The sequence below is a fragment of the Homo sapiens genome, chromosome 6 (genome assembly GCF_000001405.40).
Source record: "Homo sapiens chromosome 6, GRCh38.p14 Primary Assembly".
NCBI classification, from domain to species: Eukaryota; Metazoa; Chordata; class Mammalia; order Primates; family Hominidae; genus Homo; species Homo sapiens.
This window is the reverse complement of record NC_000006.12, coordinates 112,747,065-112,770,080: the sequence shown is the minus strand read 5'-3', so window position 1 is coordinate 112,770,080 and position 23,016 is coordinate 112,747,065. Positions and strand designations below refer to the sequence as shown.

At 34.6% G+C, this 23,016-nt stretch overlaps 2 long non-coding RNA genes across 5 annotated transcripts in view; one reads left to right on the top strand and one right to left on the bottom strand.

Annotated features, from left to right (window-relative positions):
* Positions 1 to 23,016, top strand: part of LOC107986634 (uncharacterized) — a 117,445-nt gene that overhangs the window by 76,740 nt on the left and 17,689 nt on the right. For 3 of the 4 annotated variants that reach the window (XR_001744303.1, XR_001744302.1, XR_001744300.1), the window contains exon 2: positions 497 to 625. The exons of the other annotated variant lie outside the window; for it this stretch is intronic. This is a non-coding gene — a long non-coding RNA (uncharacterized LOC107986634). The remainder of the gene's footprint in view (positions 1 to 496; positions 626 to 23,016) is intronic. 4 annotated transcript variants of the gene reach the window in all.
* Positions 255 to 23,016, bottom strand: part of LOC105377949 (uncharacterized) — a 79,927-nt gene continuing 57,165 nt past the window's right edge. The window contains exon 6 of the long non-coding RNA XR_001744304.2: positions 255 to 349. This is a non-coding gene — a long non-coding RNA (uncharacterized LOC105377949). The remainder of the gene's footprint in view (positions 350 to 23,016) is intronic.

Below are 23,016 nucleotides of genomic sequence, written 5' to 3'. Positions count from 1 at the left end.
AACCATCAGATCTCATGAGAACTCACTATCAGGAGAACAGCATGGGAGAAACTGCCCCCATGATTCAACTGCCTCCACCTGGTCTCTTCCTTGACAAGTGGGGATTACAGGGATCACAGTTCAAGATGAGACTTGGGTCGGGACACAAAGGCTAGCCGTGTCAGACTTCAACTGAAAAATTACCTCTTTTTGAGTCTTGAGCCTGCTATCTTTTAGACTGGAACTACACCATCACCTCTCCTGGGTCTCTAGCTTGCAGACTACAGATTTGGGGACTTTTTAATCCATCATAATCGTGTGAACCATTCCTTTTATTAACTCTCTTCTTGGTTCTGCTTTTCTTGTGAACCTAATATGGTAAAAATAACAATATTATTAATATTAACATGGAGTGTTTTTTGTACTAGATGCTATCCAAATGCTTTATATTTAGATATGTCAATCTATGTAATCCCCACAACTCTAATAAAAGTTATTATTATGGTCACTATTTTAGATATAAAGAAATTGACACAACTAATTAGAAGCCGGGTCCAAGATTTTCATTTATAAAGTCTACTTCCAGCACTCACTCTTTGACCCCCTATACTTCATACTCCAGAGTGACTCCAAACAAAGACTATGGGTGAGTACAATAGTGGAATCAGAGAGACCATTACAAGGATCTTGACAGTTAGACAAGAAATAACAGTGACTGGGACTAGGTTTGGAGCAGATTCGAAGCATATTTTAGAGGTGCAGTATGAGAGACAAATGTCAAAAACACCAATGGATGATGTAGGGGAAAAAACCCTGAGATTTTTGGAGTTAATTTAATACTCCAACATACTTAAATTCTCCTGTCTTGTATATTAACTTGGTTTACAGTCTATTATAACTGTAACCGTTTTCACGTTTCATTTTAATACATTTAAAATTTTATGTATTCATTTAAAATTATATCTATGTATAGGTATATACATACACACATACATATTTCATTTGAAATTACATGCACACTTTTTGTTTAGGTGGTTTATGTGTATTTTTACTGAGTCTATAGTTATCAAATTCTCAAAAAAGCTGTGCCCTCATGAAAGTTTAAAAGCGTGAATTTTTAAAAAGTTTCTATCAGGAGTCACTAGCATACAATATAAATGCATAAACCCCATCAGAGCCAAAAAAAACTATCTGGTAATGTTCTTGAGTGGAAGCTTGATTACTAGAAATAAAAGTTGCTTCCAGCTTCTGGGATAGAGAAGATATTAAATGTAGTGGCCTTTATCAAGACAGAAAGGGGTGGGGAGGAGAAGGTTCGGACAGGGACAGAAGGATTGGTACAAAGAATCAGGAGTTGTGATTTAAACATTCTACGTTTGAAAGGGCTTTATGCTTCTAAGCAGAGATCCTGACTAAGTGGTTTCATGTAAGAATCTGGAGCTCAAGGGAGGTTACAATTCTGGAGAGTAAATTTGAGGATTATCATTTTATGTATGATATTTAAAGCCAAGACACTAGAAATGAAACTGGGAAGAGCATTTAAATAAAAAACAGAAGGCAGCTCATAACCAAGTCGTTCCAATATCTGAAGCTTGGAAATACGCGGCAAAATTACCAAAGGACAGTGAAAAGGAGTGGATATAAAGGTCAGATAAAAATCAGGAAATATTGGTATTTCAAAAGCCAAGAGAAGAAAGTGTTTCAAGGAGAGAGCTCAACTGTGGGAAATGCAGCTGAAGGAACAAGTAAGATGAAAGAAAAAAGTGACAATTGGCAAAGTGGAGCTGAGAGAGAGCCGTTTTGTCAGAGTGACTGGGAACAAGCCTCACTGAAGTGGACTGAGGAGAAGCAGACAGGAGGTGGAGGTAGTGACGTTAAGCAAGCATATAAATAATTATAACATTCATGTTACCAGTATTATTTAATGAAAATCCAAATCCTCTTTCATTAAAAATTTAAAAATTTTTTAGTAGGAAAGTCTCAATTGGAACACTGGTGTGTGCATGTGTGCATGTGCCTGTGGTGTGTGTGCATGCATGCATGCCTCTGTGGGGTGTGTGTGTGTGTGTGTGTGTGTGTGTGTGTGTGTGTGTAATTCTCCTTTGGCTCACTTGCTATCCCTGTCTGGGGTCTCTGAAACCACCACACGTCCATGAGTCACCAGGAGGACCCAAAGGACTCAGGACTTAGCATGTAGTCATACTTATGGCTATGACTGATTACAGTGAAAAGATGCAAAGTATTATCAACAAAGGAAAAAGGCACATGGGGCCAAGTCTGGAGGAGACCAGGCACAAGTTTCCAATAGTTCTCTCCCAATGGAGTCAGACAGGACATGCTTAATTCCTCCATCATCAAATTGTGACAACCCATATGAAATATTGCTGATTAGGGAAGCTATTAGAGACTCAGTGTCCAAAGTTTTTATTGGGGGCTGATCACATAGACATCCACTTCTTAGCACATACCAAAATCCCAGACTTGCAGAAGAAAAGTAGGTGTTTGACACAAATCACATGTTTGTAAAAAACTATTTAGGCATGGAGAACCCCTCTTATCAATTACAGAACGGTAGGAATTGTCCCAAAAATATACAATCCTAAAATCAGCCAACAGTCAACCCTACTTTCTAATGATAGCAATCTCAGGCCTGCTATGTTTTTTTTGTTGTTGTTTTGTTTTTTTCTTTTTTTTTTTTTTGAGACGGAGTCTCGCTCTGTCACCCAGGCTGGAGTGCAGTGGCGCAATCTTGGCTCACTGCAAGCTCCACCTCCCAGGTTCACACCATTCTCCTGCCTCAGCCTCCCAAGTAACTGGGACTACAGGCGCCTGCCACCATGCCCAGCTAATTTTTTGTACTTTTAGTAGAGGGGGGTTTCACTGTGTTAGCCAGGATGGTCTTGATCTCCTGACCTTGCGATCCACCCGCCTCAGCCTCCCAAAGTGCTGGGATTACAGGCATGAGCCACCACGCCCGGCCAGGCCTGCTATGTTAACTCTTTTCTGTACATCATCCAAAGTTGGTTGCATCTTCTCTGTGTCTAACATGATTTTAGCAGTTTTCTGAATTCAGTGCACACCCATCAGAAAGGCTTAACAAGGAGAAAGGTAATGAGTGAGCGAACATTATGTGGTTTCAGCCAGTTTATCCATGAAGTCTGACAGTCAAGCAGACTCATCCACCCACTCGAGGGGCAGAGCAATGGCTTTGGCTTTCAAAAGAACTGTTAAGGGCATAAGGAGACCAGAACTTAAAATAAATAGAATATCAAATGATAACATTATTATGTAATAGTGCTTAACAAGCCATTCTAGCTCCTACCTTTTATCTGCCATTCAAATTATTATATCTAGATACTAGTATTTCCCAATTGTTGGAAACAATGCCAGACAACACCCAGAAGATGGAAGGTCAAAAGAAAAAAGGTTGAGGTGTCAGTCACACAAAGAGACCTACCCTGTTCAAGACCAACTCTGGTTTCTGGTAGTCTATTCTAGGTATCTGTCGCTGCATAAGAAAAGATCCTACAACCCAGTGGCTTAAAGCAATAACTATTTTACCTTAGAATTCGTGTGCATTAGAACTTTGAGCAGGAGTTAGCTGAGTGATTCCTGTGTTGTTTATGAGTATCCCTTTGTAGTTTTCAACTTGTTTAGGTATGGTCTGGAGGGAACAAGATGTCTTTACTCATATGACTAGCATCTTGATGGTGATGGCTCAAACACCAAACTCAGCTAAGAATATTAACCAGGGCACCTTAACATGACCTCCTTAAGTGGTTGGTCTCAGGGTACTTGGACTTCTTACATGCAGGTCCAGACTCCCAGAGAGAACTTCCAAGACCAAGGTGGAAGCTTCAAGGCTTTTTCTAACATAGCCACAGAAGTTCCAGAACATTATTATTGCTATATTCTATCAGTCAAAGAACTCATTAAAGCCAGCTAAGATTCAAGGAAGGGGCAATTAGACTTTACTTCTTGATGGGAAGAGCAGCAAGCAATTTGTAGCCATGTTTAGTCTACCACATTTACTATTTCCAAATTTCTCCTCTATTATTGTGAACCATCGTTGTCTCTTGCCATGCTTTTATTCTCATTTCATTCATTAAAAGGCAGGGCACTATTTTTCAAAAGAAGGATAACTCCACTTCTCTAAGAAGTTGCTAGAAGACTATATTAATTAGTTTTTCCTTCACACCCATAAAGCACTGTTTATTTTGAAAAGCAAAGGACCTCCAGGAACTTCTCTTGGATCTATATATGTGAAATAATAATAAATTTATCTGATATGTAAATATGATGTAAGACGTATCTGGGTCTGTTCTCTAAATAGAATGGAGAATTATTTTTTCCCATAATAGCCTAGGGTTTAATTTAGTATAGGGTAACATGATAGGACAGGGAAAAACAAAATTCCTATAAGGGAAATGACATTAGCAAAAATATTTGAGGAAGGTGTTTAAAGTGATTCAAAATGTGAAAGTGAATTCAGCAGTCATAATAAATGACTATGTACAACCACAAAGCCATTAGAGGCTAGTTGGATTTTTTGTTTTAGGACTGGGATACCATGAACTAATTTGTATACATATATTAAATATCTTTTACATATTAAAAGTCACAATTTTCTTCTTCCTACTATTAATAATTATCCTGTTAAACTATTCACAAGATAAAATGATAACTAGTTTTCAACTAGAAGGACTTATCTATTTCTAAAGGCAAAACAAAGTAAAGAAGGTTCTTTTTCAATATCATTAGCAAAGGAGTAGTCTGTCTACAAACAAGCTGTATTATACACAATATCACAAAGTGTGCATTTGAGTTTTAAACATCATCCAAATTTACTTTATGTAGATACCACTTTAGTAATTACTTTAATAATTGCTGCATCCTAGCAACATACAATGCACTGCATTTCTCAATGCAAATATACCTCAGAGGGTTTATCTGGAAATCCACAGGAAGAAAAGAGACATTTGCCTTCTTAAGGGGAACTTGGCCTCTTGTCTCTCTTCCTCTTGGAATAAAACTGGAAATGAAAATGGAGACAGCGAGTGTGCTTATACTTAAAGCACAGCCCTGTCAATATGGGGCTAACTTGAGCCTTTTCATTTTCAACTCTCAGCCAAAACTAAGATGGATCTTAATTCTGAGTTTTATTTCAAGAATATTATGTACTGGGCCAGATGAAAAAGTGGTGAGATTTTTAACTTTTGAGCTAAACAGCTGCCATAGAAAATGTTCTTCTCTTAAACTAATCACCAGAAAGGCTGTTAGACAGTTACCTCACCTGTGTATGAGTATTCATTATCAAGTCAACAGAGAAATCAGTGGTTGATCTGATTTCATCTTTTCTGGATCTGGAAAACATTGCTATGAAATCTTTATTTGTGCCAACTTGCTCCAGAGCTACCTCAGGACCACGATTCCAAATGGCCAGGTGGGGTTCACCCACAAGGCCTCTGCTTGTCAGAGCCAGATCTGTACCCCAGCCCCCAAGCCCAGAGCCTTGTGGCTAGAGTCAAGTTGCTATGGGTGCCAGAGGCATCTGTCATTGTGATAAAGTGGCCTCTCTCACATCCACCTGACAGTCTCCCGCCTTCAGCAAGGTCTTTATATAACTCTGAGTGGAGTGAAAATAAAGATAAATACAAAGGGAAGAAAAGAGGCCTTTAAACTTGACTTTTAGTTTAGATTTTTATATTTTAAAAATTCACTCTTGACCACACACCATTCCCCTGATTTAGAGTTAATGACCCAATTAATGAGGACTCTGGCCTTTTTCAGTTAAATCAATCAGCCTCAGAGATAATGAAATGAGAAATGTGTCTTAGTATTTAAGGGACAACAGGATTTCTCAGTTATTTTCTGCAGGTTGAAATCTACAGTGAAGACTCATAATCTTCTTTTAGTGATGTTAGAGATTGGCTTTGTAGAGGTGTCAGGTTTTAACAAATTAAAAACAAAATAAAACAGGATGCCCAATTGAATTTGAATTTTTGGTAAACCAGGAATTTTTTAGTATAAATACATACTTTGCAATACTTTGAGATCCTAATACTAAAAAAATTATTCATTGTTTCATAGAAATTTAAACTTTACTGAGTGTCCTGTATTTTATCTGGTAACCCTCATTTTGTAAGTCTTTAAATATGTGTTGCATTTCTACAATTGAACTTAGAAATCTCTTTTGAATTAAATAGAATAATAATATCTAAATGGAGGAAACTTTTTAAAAGAAGAAATGTCATGTCACAGAAATCCTTATAAATACCCTAAAATCATTAAACATCACATTATTTTTATTCCCCTTTCTCCCCTCAATCAATAACTACAGGGTTGGTTGAAATGTAAGTGGTAGTTCAGTGGCCTGAGTATTTTATAACTTAGTCAAGAGATGAAACTGTTAATTAGGAAGAAATGACTCCTTGTTGTATGAAAAAAATCTGTTTTACTGGTATCATTGCTTGTTGTAAATTAACAGAAGGATACTCAGAAAATAAGGCAAGTGACAGAGAATGCAGAAGACCTGTGGGTTATTGGGCACTGTTTTCATATGGGTCAGTGATGAGAAAAGTCAGATGGAGCATTTATTCAACATTTCAGTATTGTCACAGAAGGCTAAGAGACCAATCCTAACTAAACTCCATTGTCATAATGGATACCTTATAATACCTTACATTAAATACCTTACGTTAAAATGCATGCTTTGCTGCTTATGGTAAATGGTTAACTGAACCAATAGTGGGCTACTGTATGTTTTATATTGTGTGTGTGTGTGCGTATATGTGTGTGTGTGTGTATGTATGTTTGTATATATGTATGAATGTGTGTATATGTATACATGTAGACACATATATATGTACACACATATACACTCATACACAGTTACCTCCCAGACCAATAATAGCAGCATTTTATAATAAATTTAAGTTATGGACCTATATTTAATATTGATAAATGCAACCAGAAAAATAAAATAACTATTACATATATAAGGCAGCCACAAGTTTTTGTATGTCAGTCCTTCAAAAATGTATATATCAATTAGCATTTGAGTGTTTTCTCTGTTTAAGTGATTAATCTGTTAACCTACAAAATTTAAAGTTGTTGGTGCTTCTTCTTTCCTTCCTTTTTCTCTCCTATTTTACAGTGTATTGCTTTTCTCCCTTCTACCAAACTTATTCATTTCTTGGAGAAAATAAACCCCATTTTAAGAAAAACAGCTGTAAGATTTTTTTCCGGGCATGTGTTATTGTGAAAATCGTCAAGGTAATTCATTTGAAGCAAATGCATTCACACTATCAGAAGAGGTTTATTAAAAGAAAGAGACATGAAACAAATTGACAGTATTAGTGATACTGTAAGAAAAACATTAACCTACATAAAAGAATACATAACCTCAGAACCAACCACTTGAAAGCAACAAGAACAACACTACTATTATTGAGTCTTCAGAAGTCTAGTATAACATTAAGTAAATTTGCATTTTATTATGAAATTAAATTAATAAATCCAATTTACTTTGAGAATATTCTATAATTTTAACTTTATGAACTCAATCTGGCTTTTGCTGCTACTAGAATCAATTAGTGAAATTTTGATTTTGTGTGTGTGTGTGTATGTGTATGCACAATACCGTTTCACGTCTATCAGTTACAAAGGTTATTGCAGTCCTATTTGTATGTCTCACTGAAGGGACTTGTGTACCAGTATTCTTTTCTTTGTTAATAACAATGAAGTTCATCGTCCTTGTTTTTTAGGAAGTAGTTAAATAGTAGGTATTAAATATACCTCTTTGCATTTAAAAGGATCCATGCACTTATGTCTGCTACCTTCACCTCATAGCAGTGAGGTAAGAAGCTATTTCATACACAGTGAGTCTTATGAAAAAATGCTTTAGGTAAGTAGATGTTGCCTTGAGTATTATGGTTTTAGAAAAATTACAATTAAAGCAGTGGAGATGGAGTATGAGAGGAGATAATATTTAACTAAGTGATAATTTATTTTGTTGAAAACTCAAAACCCCATTAGAGATTTCCACAAAGTTTCACACTCCTAATGATTCTAACTTTTCACACTGAGGGAAAAAGCTCTTGTTTAGGAATTTGACAGTAGAGCGTTGAAAGGTCATTTGTCAGCAGGGTCACTAAGTTGCAGAACTTGTTAAGAAAGCTTTATACTGCTTAGCCACACATTGTTGCTGTCTCAAATCCCAGGGGCAGAAAGCAAAAACAATTAGGCAAATTCTGGTTTAGCTGAGAATGACCCTTTTCAATATTTTGAAACACACATAAGTGCCTGTCAAAGTGTATCAACAGAATCTGTATTTAAAGATGAGAAGAAATGCTGCTGGCGATCCCTTCATCCTGACAACTGAGATTTAAGACCAATTCACCCATCTTTTGCCAGGGGAAAGGTTACTGAAGGAGGTGGCAGATTAATGTTGGAAAGCCCAATATTCATCTACATGATACACACACGTCTGCATTTACTCTACCTTGTGTATCCTCCTCATTTCATAAAAGTTACAGATCAGAAATATGCCAATTCACAACTGAGCTCATTATAGCTCATTCATATATTTTAATATATTTCCACTGAAAACTTAAAATCAAAATTAAGTTTCAAGGAATCATCTCTAAAAGTAATTCTTCCTTTATTATTGCTTTGGATTGTAAAATATTTTGTGTAAGCATGAGAGAGTAAGCATATGCACATACAGTGTGTGCATGCAGTGTACACATACACATGAACATATGCATGTAAAATCAAATTTTTGTAATAACTTTCAAATGAAGAGATAATCAGATGTGTGGAGCATCTCTCTAATTCTTTAGGAAGCCAATCTTAATTTTCAGATAAAATTTGAAAATATATAATAATTAAGAGTACAAAAGTAAAGGGATCTGTATAGAAAGAAGAAGGGTTATTGACATATGTAGAAGGGTCCCTCAAGTCTTCAACTCTGTGTCTGAACTCATGTGGAATGAAACTCACTAAGACTGGGGAGGTGGGGGGGACACCAGGAAACAGGCTGAATAATTCCCTAGGTTCACAGAGCTGAAAATATTTTGCATTCCAATCAGTCAGAAGGGATGAATCTCATAATATACTCATAGAGTGTTGAGTAGAGTCTAAGGAGGGTTTACTCTAGTCATGGGCTAAAAGAGCAAAAGACTAAAAACTGCTTTGGATTAACTTCAACAAAGCTTAAAAGAAAACTTTGAAAGGATCAACTTGATCCCAAATAGCTCAACTTAATGCTAAGCAAAACTCAATACTCTTTAAAGGCATACAACAAAATCCAGTAATCTACAACATAAAATGTGTTAGATAGAACATACAATCAAAAATTTTTAGGCATATAAAGAAGCTAGAAAATATGACAGGTGGAATATAATAATATCAATAAATATAAACAGACCTAACAATGAAGGAGATCATTAGAAGAGACTATAAAACAAAAATTGAAAATACTATAAATATGCTCAGGATTATAAAGGAAAATTTACACATAATAAAGAGGGAAACAGATTTTTTTTAAAAAAATGGAACTACTAACAATGAAAAATATAATATTAGAAATAAAAATACACTGGAGAGGATCAACAACAGATTAAAGAAAAGAAGAAAAAATTAAAAGATACAGAAGAAAAGATTAGTTAATCAATGCATATCAATAGAAACTAAGCAAAATGTAGTTTAGAGCAAAAACACATTGAAAAAAATATACAGATTATCAGCAACTTGTGAAGCAATATTAAGCTAACAAATGTGCAACTGGAACCCCAAAAGCATAGAGAATGATTGGTAGGTGGGGAAGGTGTGAGGAGACAGTTTAAAAAGATTGAAAAAATAGTGGCTGAAATGTATTCAGAAGTGATAACGAATATAAACCTTCAGATCCTTAGGATCTCAAAAGACTCCAAGAAAAATGAACATACAAGTATACAACAGTGCATTAAAATTACATTCTAAAAATGATGGCAAATGGAAATCTTAAAAGCTGCAGAGAAAAACACATGATATAGGGAAAGCCAAAGAAATAACGATAACATCAGAAATGATATCAAATCCACACAACTTTGTCAGAAACTATGCAGAAACTTTGTCAGAAATGTCTAGAAGATAAAAAATGGTGCCTTTAAATTAATAGGATAAAATAATCTGTCAACCTTCAATTCTATACCTAATGAAAACTTTTTTTCATAAATGAGGCAAAATGAAGACTTTTCAGACCAAAATCAAAAAGAAAAAAGGTGAGCAACTTTATTGCCATCAGACCCTCTACAGAAAGAAGGAAAATGATGCCAGATGGGAATCTGAATCTTCCCAAAAGAGTGAACAGTGCCAGATGGCTGGCTGTTTAAGGCAAAAATAATAACAGCATATTGAGAGGTTTATATCATATGTAGACTTAATATGTATGGCTATATTAGCATCAAGTCAGGGAGTGTAGATATGGAAGTTATATAAATGCTATTTGAAGTGATATGTTAAAGTGGTAATGATAAGTTAAAGATGCATAGTTGCAAAACCTATGGAGACAACTAAAATATAAAACAAAGCGATATCTGTTAAAAAGCCTATAGTGGAGACAAAATATCATAAAACAACGATTAATCCCTAAGAAAGCAGGAAAAGAGTAAAAATGACTAAAAAATGAATGTAAGATAGTACATTTAAAATTAAACATATTAATAACCACATTAAATTTAAATGGCCTAAGCATTCCAATTAAAATAGAGAAATTGTTGGACTGAATAAATGAGATTCAACTGCGTGTTGTCTACATGAATCCCAAATTAAGAGTACAGGTATAAATAAGTTAATACTTTAAAAATGTACAAATATATACAATGCAAAATATCACTTGAATAAATCCTTGAGGAGATGGATACCCTAGTCTCCATGATGTGCTTATTTCCCATTGCATTCCTGTATCAAAACATCTCATGTACCCCATAAATATATTCACTACTATGTACCAACAAAATTGTTTTAAAGCTTCAGAATAAGGAATATTACCAGTGTAAAGGGAATCAGCTCACAATGATAAGTGACTTGATTCACCAAGACATAAAAACCCTAAATATGCCTGCACTTAACAGTATAATTTTTAAAATATATGAAACAAAAACTGAAAGAACTAAAAGAGAAATAGGCAAAATCACAATTTTTTTTTCAGATGGAGTCTTGCTCTGTCACCCAGGCTGGAGTGCAATAGCGCAGTCTCGGCTCACTGCAACCTCTGTCTCCCAGGTTCAAGCGATTCTCCTGCCTCAGCCTCCTGAGTAGCTGGGATTACAAGCCCATGCCACCATGCTGGGCTAAATTTTGTATTTTTAGTAGAGATGGGTTTCACCATGTTGGCCAGGCTGGTCTCAAACTCCTGACCTCCGTTAATCCACCCACCTCGGCCTCCCAAAGTGCTGGGATTACAGGCATGAGCCAGTGTGCCTGGTCCAAAATCACAATTATAGTTGAAGATTTCAGCTTGTTCTCGGCAACAGATAAAAGTGATAGAAAAACTAGACAAAAAAATTCAATAAAAATGCAGAATACTTTAACAATACTCTTAACTAATTTTATCTAATCAGCATACAGAACACTCTACCCAACAACAAAAAAATACACATGCTTTCTAATTACACAGAATATTCACCAAGATATACTATATTTTGGTTTATAAAGCAAATCTGAATAAATTTAACCCTATTAAAATCATATATATGATATTATCTGGCCAGAATCAAATTCAATTAGAAATTAATAAGAAAAAATATATTTGTATCAATTTTAAAATGAACAACTAAATCATAAATTGAAATGGCTATCACAATACAAATTAGAAAATATTTGGAATGACATGAAAATAAAAATATCAAATGTGTTTCTCACATAAAGAACGGTAGTTAGAGGGAAATTAATAGTATCATAGCTTATATTAGAAAATAAACATATCAAATAAATGTTGTAAGCTTATACATAAGAAACTGAAAAAAGTAGAGAAAATTATTCACAAAATAAGTGGAAGAAGATAAATAATAAAGAAAAGAATACAAGTTAATAAAATAGAAAGCAGAAAAGCAATAGAAAAAAGTTGCTGAAGGCAAAAGTTGGTTCTTGGAAAATATCAATAAAATTTATAAATATCTAGCCAGACTGATTAAGAAAAAAGAACACAAATTAGCAGTATCAGGAAAGAACAGAAAAGCTCACAAATAATAAAGAAATGTTATGGACATCTTTATGCCTCAAAACTTGAAAACTTAGGTGAAGTGGACAAAGACCTTAGGAAACATAAATTAGAAGTTCACTGAGGAAGAAAAAGTAATGTGAAAAAGCTATATGTACAGGGAAATTGAACTCTTATTTAAAAGCCTTCCTACAAAGAAAATTCCAAGTTGGAGGTAATACAATGATGAGAGTTTTTTCAATAGTCAGACCACTGGAACTTACATGCAACAAAAAGGGGGAGGGGAGCAACATGAATTATGGCCCTTATTTCACATTATATACAAATATTAACTTTAATGTATCATATGTCCAAAATTTCTAGAACAAAAAGAGCAGAGTGTCTTTCTGTCATAAGGTTATATAAATATTTCTTAAATAGGCTACAAAAACATAAATCTTAAAAGAAATATAATTGTCAAATTAGATTTCATAAATTTTGTTTAAATGCTTTTCAAAATAGTCCATTAAGAAAATGACAAGGCATCTGATGGATTGGAAGAAAATAATTGTGCATTATATATCTGACAAAGAACTTGTACTCAGAACACAAAGGATTCTTAAATCTCAAAATGAGGAAACTAATGAACTTGTTAAAAATGGGCATATATTTGAACAAATACTTTAGGAAATAAGATATGTAAGCGGCATATAAGTATATAACGATGTTCAATATTATTTGTTATTAAAGAATGCAAATTAAAATTGCAATGAGATACTACCATTATATACAATAGAAAGGTTAAAATTAAATGTAACGACATTGCTAATTGTTGGCAAGAGTATTAGGGTTCTTCAGAGAAACAAAACCAAAAGGAAAATATATAAATACATAGAAAAAGATTTATTATGAGGGATTGGCTCATGAGACTGTGGAGGGTAAGAAGTCCCATAATATGTCATCTGCAAACTAGAGACTAGGAAAGCCGGTAATGTAGTTTCAGTCCAAGCCTGAAGGCCTGAGAACCAGGAAAGCCAATGGTGGAAGTGCATGTGTGAGTCCAAAGGCCCAAGAACTAGGAGCACTGATGACCAAGGGCAGGAAACAACAGATGTTCCAGCTCAAGAAGAGATAGCCAATTCATCCTTCCTCTGCCTTTTTGTTCTATCCAGGCCCTTAAAAGGTTGGATGGTGCCAACTCATATTGATAAGGGTAATCTTTATTCAGTCTATCAATTCAAATGCTAATATCTCTCAGGAATGCCCTCACAGACACACCTAGAAATAAATTCTTACCAGCTATGTGGGCATCCCTTAGCCCAGTCAAGTTGACACATAAAATTCATCATGATAGCAAAGATATGGAACAATTCAAACACAATGGTGTTAGTGTGAGTGCAAAATGGTACTGACCTTTGGGAAAATACTTTGGCAGGTATTTTTTTTTAATATGCAGAGATAAATACACATTTATCATAAGATCCAGTCACTCCACTTCTAGATATTCTCAAGAAAAAATGAAACATATGATCATAGAAAATTGTTTGCGAATGTTCATAACAGCTGTAATCACAATAGCCCCAAACTGGAACTAGACAAAATGTCCACTTACTTGTGAATGAATAAACAAACTCAAAACAATAGAATACTACTGAGCAATAAAAAAGAATGAACTACTGAAACATACAACATTGGTGTATTTCAAAAGCACTTTGGTGACTGAAAAAAATCAGACACAAAATACTACATCCTGTATGATTTCATTTTATGAAATTCAAGAAGCCAAAACTATAATGATGGAAAGTAGATAAGAGGCCAAGGGTGAGGTAAGGGGAAGATAGCCAAAAACACTTTTTAGATGATGGAAATTTGCCAAACAGTGATTTAGGTGGTAGTTATTTGACTACATAAATTTACCAATATCTGCTTGCATACTTTAAATGATGAATTTTGTTATATATACATTATATTTTACCACAGTTGTTTAAAAAAAGTGCTATCGTTCATTACATCTAAATATTTTTATAATAATTAAAATATATCTTCAAAGAAAAGCAGCCTTTAGATATATTTAGCTTTTTCATCCAGAATAAAGTGACAATAGTTCCTCTCTGAAATTTCACTAAATTTTACAGTCCCATGAAGTACAATACTATTATAAAATTTTGGTTTATGCATCTTCTTACTTGATAAGTAAGGTTGTCATCTTCTTACTTGGTAAGTCAAACATAACTGCCCAAAAGCAGAAATATTTCACATTGAAATAAGAAAAACTCAGAAAGTGTGAAGATTTTTTTTAGTAACACATTTTTTTCTAATTTGAGATTGTCTCTGGAGGCAATAGTATAGTCTGAGGCAGTTATGAAAACACAAATACAGATTGCATGGTAAAAGCTATAGAGCAAAATGAACCAAAGATGCTCAAAACCTCCCGAGAGGGATAATATCACTAGGGCACATGCGTCTAGCTGATAGGGTGGAAAGCTCCTGTTTCAGACCTTTATAATGAATTATTTTACAACAGGGCTATGTTATCAGTTGGTCCTTTGGGGTAAGCTCTTTGAAGAACATAAAGGACTTGCTTTATAAATCAGAAATCCAATTCAGTTAGCTGTTTCTTCAATGAAAATTGCATGGAGGCAGAATTTTACATGTTCATAAATGGGAAAGCAAGTAAAGAAGTGTAGAAAAAGCAAATTCAGTTAAACCTACATTTCAAAGGTCAAACATTTGGTAGATTCCATCCTCCAGGATTTCTTAGCAGAAAGAATATAGAGAAAAAAAGCCATTAAATAACAGAGTTTTTCAAAAGTCTCTATATTAAAGCTTTGTATGTCACTCTTTAGGTCTTTCGCATGCAAAAAAATTGGAGACATGGGCAGCATGTCAGCTTTTGGAAAAACACAATCTCTGCTGGATTTCCAGTTCTGCTACTTCTTATTTATAACATTTGAAAATATATTATGAATTTCATTCAATTTACTTGTCTATAAGACTGGAGAAAAAATTTCTACTTTTCAGTGCTGTTGAGATGAACATAGATAGTATATGGTGGCATTTAAGATTACTAGATATTATGTGCTCCTTATTTAATCTTGATACTTGTTTAGCCATATCTCCACCCATCACAGATTAGAAGCAGCAAATAAGAGACAAAGTATAGACAGAAAAAGGAAAAGATCAAATAAGATCTTTATAATGACATCATAAAAGAAATGATAATCAAAAACAAAAAGTGGAATTAAGCTGTCTTATTTCACACATGTCCAAAACTGCTTTATATCATGTATGTCCAAAATCATAGCAAAATAGAATGTATTGAAAAAGATACTTTTTTTAAATTCTCTGCTTGGTCAGATATACGATTTGTATCAGAATGTGGCAGAAACTGATTGAGACTGACACTCATGTTCCCACTTAAATTATCACTGAACAGTCAGGAAAATCAAAAGCAACTCAACAATCAGCAACACCGCGTGAAAAAAAAGGAAGAAAAGGAACTTCATACACCAGAGGTTAACTGTAATTCAACCACTTACATCATGAATTGAGAAGGATGTTTTGAAGGACACAACATATGCGTCAACATCTGAACGGGAACAAAGAAATTGTAAATACATAGCAAGCAAGCACAGAGGAAAAATAAGGAGGAAGAGAAGAGGGAGAAGAGAAAAAGAAAGAAAATTATCTGGAATGAGATGCTATTTCAGTTCTTTCATCTTTTCAAAAAACAGATAATTCATATTCTTATAATCTGTTCTACAGAATAGAAAGGTACAAGCATCCCCTTTTAAACCTATTCTATCTCTATCCCAGACACCCTCCTGACAAAAATTTTGCCTTTACAACATTAACAGTCACTTTGGAATACAATTTGTTGGTGTCTTACAAGGCTAAACATTGCCTTAGCATATATTCTGCCAATTATGCTCCTAGGTATCTATCCAACTGGTTTGAAACTAATGACCACACAAAATAATGCATGCAAAAGATTATAGCATCTTTATAATCACTAAAAACTGAAAAGAGGCAAGATGTTCTTCAGTTGATGAAAGAATAAACGAACAGTGCTACATCCATACTATTCAATAACAAAAAGGAATGAGCTATCAAGCCACAAAAAAAACACTGATAAATGTTAAATGTACATTGCTTAGTGAAGTTTTGAAAAGGAAATACACTGTGTGATTCATTTACCTGACATCTCGGAAAATACAAAACTTTAGAGACACAAAGCAGATCAGTGTTTAGAGTTTAGGGAGTAGAGAGGATTTGATAGGTAAAACACAGGATATTTTTTGAGAGCTGAGAAACTATTTGGTTTGAAAATGTTAGGGTGTATACTTAACATTCTGCATTTATGACACCCAGAGTACTTTACTGAACAAAAAATAAACCTACATTTATTCAAATTTTTAAAATTTATTTCAGAGATCAGGAAGTTCCAGGTTGGAATATAAACTCTGAGAAAGAATCTAACTATTACAAATGTATAAAATATCCTCACTAAAGGATGCTGTCCTAAGTAATTTTGGAAATGAGTAGTCTGTAAGACTAAAGACAAAAGCAACTGTCCGTAAGCTCTGTTCTCTAGTTAATAAAGTTATTTCCCATAGGAGTACAGGTTAACAGTTCTGATTATGCTATACACATATGAATTGAGATGCAGCTATACACACATGAATTCCATATGCTGGAATCAAACAAGTAAATTAATGGAAGTTAAGTTTATCACTGTTGAAGTGGGAGGTTACAGAAAAGCAAGAGGACAAAGTTAAAATGATCTATGTAATAATGATTACAGTTGGAGATATGAGCATGAACTCATGTTTAGCTTAATATAAATATAGAAGGTTATATATAGAAAATGTTTATACATATGTGTATAAACTTGGATCAGTATATACATATTTCCTTGCTTTGTCAGTTGAGAGGGCTGAAAAGCAACAACACTCCAATAGCAAAGAGCACACATAGCACTCAGATATTGGTTTCTGATACAATTCTTCAGTAAAAAGAACTAGATTACTCAGAGAAATGTCTTACTCTACAACTGAGGGAAGAAATATACAAGATGAGCCTGTAGCACCTTATAGTGCCAGAAAGTAAGCAAATGCTAAAACAAACAAATAAATACAATGATGAGTGTATGTCAAAGAAACTTGAGACAACTGAAAAAGCTCCCATGAATAAAACTGTAATAATTGGAGCAAGAAAAATATATATAGTATTGAATTATAATACAATATATAAAATAAATAGCCACGAGTTCATACTGATACGAACAAACAACAAACAAATACATAAATCAATGGTATAGAATGAACAAATTACCCATGCAAAAGAATTCCAAATAATTTATGTAAGTACTCTTCTTTCCAGGAAGTGAAGCAAAACTTCTGTAATATGGGCTGCTTACAATGACTTCCTTCCAAAAAGGGAAGTATAGAAACAGAGAAAAATTACTAGCTTTACACTGAAGAGACCTAACAAACTCTTCCCTCCACCAGATGATTAAAGTTAACATCAACAGCAATAAGTCATGTTGCTAGCCTAGCAATGTACTCTTAATATGAAGTGATAGGAAAGTAAATTTAATTCTGTGATATTCCTCCCCCAAACCCATAAAACAGTCAAATCAAAAAAGCAAACAAAAAAATCAAATAAACACAGTAAATAGACATTCTACAAAATACCTGACCAGTACTCTTCAAAAGTATCAAGGCCAACAAAAGCAAGAAATAACTGAGAAACTGCCGTGGCCAAGAGAAGCCAGAGGAGACATGACGACTAAATGTCATTTGGTATGTGAATCGGATCTTAGAACGGAAATATTAAAAGGACATTAGGTTAAAATTAACGAGATATAAATTAAGTATGGGTTTTAGTTAATCATAATGTGTTTATATTGGTTTATTAGCTGTGACTAATGTACCATAATAATAATGTAAGGTGTTAACAATAGGGGAAACAGTGTTGGGTGTATGAGAAATCTCTGTATAATTTTTGTTAACTTCTCCATCTAAAACTAGAATTTAAAACTATGCTAAAATAAAAAGCTTATTAAAAATTAGAGAAGTATCTAATTTATGAATACAGATGTAGAAATTTAAATATTTGCATTTTTAATAAAACAGTGCTTTGAAAGGCTATTTCACCTAAACAAGACAGTTTTATTCTGGTCATCAGAATAGAGGCACAGTGCAGCGCATTAATTATTCCCAGGAGCTTGGTCTTTCTCTTTCCCAGCTCTGCTACCTTGGTCAGGTTTTTAATTAGTAAATCATCTCAGAGTCTGTAAAACTAACACAATAACAACTTCCAGGATTAATGAGATAATGTGAGTAAGCTTCTTAGTACTATTCTGGTACATATTTAACACTAAATCTATGGTAGATTTGTACTATTATTCTATTATTATTTATTATTGTTAAAAATATCACTTTGGGAGGCCGAGGTGGGTGGATCATGAGGTCAGGAGATCGAGACCACCCTGGCTAACACGGTGACATCCAGTCTCTACGAAAAATACAAAAAATTAGCCGGGCATGGTGGTGGGCGCCTGTAGTCCCAGCTACTCAGGAGGCTGAGGCAGGAGAATGGCGTGAACCCGGGAGGCAGAGCTTACAGTGAGCCGAGATCACGCCACTGCACTCCAACCTTGGCAACAGAGCGAGACTCTGTCTCAAAAAAAAAGAAAAAAAGAAAATTGTTCATTTAAAATGTGCTAAAATTGTGTTAAAATCACAAAAGGCTAAACACAGGACAAAGGATCTTCCCCCAGAATAATAGTCATTCAATAAACGTTATATTACTATACATAGCACAGTTATATTTGAGATATCAAAACTTAGTTTATTAACATTTGACCTACTGCACATTATACTAGACACAAAATATGCAACAATGAAATGAGAAATTTTTAACCCACCTAAAATCTGATCATTTATACACTTACAGGTATCATTGAGAAAGAATTAACCCTTATTTAAAAAAAAATCCTTTCAATGATTTTCTAAAAGTCCTTGGCTAATTTCAACATACTTAATAAGAGCTAATTATATTTCTGTTATTATCTCACAGATAACATCTTTGGGAGTTTCAGGAAGAATGGTCTACTTTACATTAAAACTATGCAAGACAGGGAAAGGAATACAGATTAAAAGGAAAATTATAATCATTTTCATATCATAACTGAAACTCTGAAAGCGCTTACATTCCTCCAAACTTTGTTCTAAGAGATTTACATATATTAACTTAATTTGTTTAAGATTGGACTTACATGGTCTTAGAAGAGAAGTACCTGTACAGATCATGTTGCCAAGCTCTCTCATTTTATAGATAAGAAATATTCATCCAAGCTAAGCTAAGTTCTTCAGATCACACAGCTATTTAGCAAAGTCAAGGCTAGGTGAGCTTCCTTATCTGATCTCTACCCAATACATCTCACTTTCACTAATATTAAAATAATATTGTGTCAATTTGATTGGATTGAAGGACACAAAGTATTGTTTCAGGGTCTATATGGGTGTTTCTGGGTGTTGCCAGAAGAGACTGACATTTGAGTCAGTTGACTGGGAGAGGAAGATTCACCCTCAGGAAGACCCACTAACAATGTGGGTGGGCACAATCCAATTGGCCTCCATCTTTCTACCGTGCTGGATGTTTCTTGCCCCAAATGTCAGACTCCAAGTTCTTTGGCTTTTGGACTCTTGGACTTACACCAGTGGTTTGCCAGGGGCTCTTGGGGCCTTTGGTCACAGACTGAAGGCTGCACTGTTGGCTTCCCTACTTTTGAGGTTTGGGACTGAGCTACTACTGGCTTCCTTGCTCCTCAACTTGCAAAAGGCTGATCATGGGAATTCACCTTGTGATAGTGCGAGTCAATTCTCCATATATATGTCATATATACCAATAGCATACTAATAGACATATATGCTATTAGTTCTGTCCCGCTAGAGAACCCTGACTAATACATCTGTCAACTCACTCTCATAAAACGTATCTATAAAATTTTACGTGTTTACTGTTTCTCCCCACAAAAGCAACTAAAACATAGCCCAATGGATATAGGATCTGCGTTATATTATTCACTATCATGTCCTTAGCAGCCACATCATTCTGAATAAGTAGTTTGTGAATACATATTTGTTGGCTGAATGAATTATTTCTCAGTTTTCACCTCTGTCCTTGTGATGGTTTCATACATCCCAAGGAGACTGTCTGTGGTTTACACTTCAGAATGGCACTCAGATATACCTGGAGAATCAAGTCTCTTTGATGGTTAAGAATTGATCAATGCCAGACCAGTCTTCATGAAGCCCAATCTTCCTAGTCCTATAATGAATCACATTAGAAATTACAGGCCTAAAAACTATTCCTTTCCCATTAATAAAATAAAGAATAAATTCTGCAGTTGAACTACGGAAAGTCTCCAATGAGGGGCCTGAGGAAAAAGGAATAGAAAGTAGCATCATCATCAAATCTGAGCAAGGCTTTTATTTATACTAAGTTGATCATCAAGGAACAGCACCAGTTCTCCACATCATTAGATGCAGCCAGAGTCTATCCCAATTCCCTAATTCTTCTAGTCCTCAATGTTTCCCTTTGTGCAGCAATAACAGTGCTTTTTAGAACTTCATTATTCATATGCATTGAAGGTGCTTCCTTAAATCACTACAATACAGTTAGAAAAAAAAAAAAATTGAAATTGACCCCCCCACACACACACATATTGCTGCTGTTTAGAAGACAACTAAAATCTAAATAAATTCAAAGAGATTTAAAATGTCTCACTTCTTGGAAATAGTTGAGAAGAGTTAGAACACAGGCTAGTAAAATGACTTACAAACTCTACTTACTAATAGCATACACACAAGTTCTGGAAAACTACATTCACACAAAGAACTAAGCTTGCTCATTTTGCAATGCTATGCATTTGCTCCTTTACAATTTCTCATAAAAAGTATCCAATTACTTTATTTTTTTTTATCAAGTAAAAATTTTTGTCTCTCTATGATGAAATGTGTAATATATGACATAGAGATCCCTACAGAAGGTTTTAGGAGACATACTCTCCTAAGAAAATGAAGCAAGGGGCTCTGGTCTTTAGTCCATCATTTTTGATGCTGAGATCATCTTTGTCCAAGTCCATGTTGTGCATTCTAAGGCATGGTGGTCTGTTGCTCACAGCCTCCAATCCCTGCTGTATATCTCAGCAAAGAAAAACCACCATGGCTCCCAAGACTTGAGTTTAAGCTCCTCCTCTCAGTGTTGAGGCACACCTTTTCCTCTCTTGAATAATCCAACTCCTCTTCTCTAAAAGCTAGGAAAACAGATGTGTCTTTATATTTTTCTGGAAGACTTAAAGCCTTGGGTTTCAGGAAGGAAAGTTCCTGCCTTGTCCTTTTGCTAAGAGAAGTGAAAATGACTTCTCATTAGTGAAGATGAAACTACAGGGGGAGAAATTAAGTCATTCTGCCACATTCAAGTGATTCAAATTCTAAATAGAGATTAAGGATGTTTTATAAAATCATAAAGAAAAAATATTTTAAAATGTTCCCAACTATAGTATTTGATTAAACCAGTTTACTGAGATCCTTATGAGTTCTAGGTATCAGTAGAGTGGGTGATAAATCATTGAGAAGTTACCAGTAGAGTGAATATAATGTCACATACCTACATACAAACATACATACACACATATACGTGTGGATATATATGTGTATGTGTATATATGTGTGTGTGAGTATATATATACATATAATATAAAAATCCCGCATTTTTTTCAAAATAGTAATGTTAAGCTGTTAAATATCTTGCAAGCTGACTTTTTAAATTGCACATTCGAATTAACTCTTTCTTTTAACATGTAGTAGATATAATTGTTGTTCACCAAATTTTCCAGTACTCCTTTGCCTTCCATAAGAGAATTGCACTTCTCAAACACATTTAGATATAGATGGTCAATTTGACTTTTTTTGGCGAATGAAATATGAGTTGATGTAATGAGTCTTTCTTTTGTATGACAGCATTTTCAAGCCAGCATATTATCTGTCTCCCCACTTGGCTGGCCAGCAAGTTCCAGATTTTGTGGCTTTAGGATGGTTCAGACTTTCTCAGCCAAATCACTAAGTTGTTCTGTGGAGATCAGTTACCCACAGAGTCTCCTAGACATGTGACTTTGCTTAAACAACAGAAAAATTAGAATTGTTTTAAGCCACTGTGTCTTTTCAAAAATTTTTGTTTTCCTTCTGTTTCACTTTGTGGTGTTGTTTTGTTTTTTAGTTAACCCAGCCTAATGTAGCTGAATCTCACTACGATAATACCAATAACATACTAAACTCTGGTATTATGGAGATCTCTGTCCTCCAGGAGATAGAAAATAGTAAACTGGAGATAGTTTTCTCTAACCTGAGAAAACTGATTAGTCTCTAAGGCAGCAAAGGGACAACAATCAAAACATTACACTCAGAGTCCCCAGGAGTGGTCAGTTTCAGGAAACACTAAGCAAACTCACATAGAGTTCAAAAGAATGCTGATTTATATATTTGCAGTGATATCAAGAAGACTGGCCAATTCAGCCCAAATCTACTGGTAAGGCTTCTCCCTTCATTTAAGAGCAAGCTCAATTATAATGAAAACTCTGGTAATGAGAGTAAAGTCAGAGTATAGATATTTGGTTGCGTGATCTTAGTGGCTGCAGAAATTTACTTCCTTTGGTAGGAAGAGGGGTCTGCTTACTCAAGATTCCTGGCCATTGAATTTCACCCTCATAGTGAAGTAAAATACTGTAACAGTCTTACCCTAGAGGCTCCCTTTTCCTGACTTCTATGTAAACATATTCTTTGCTG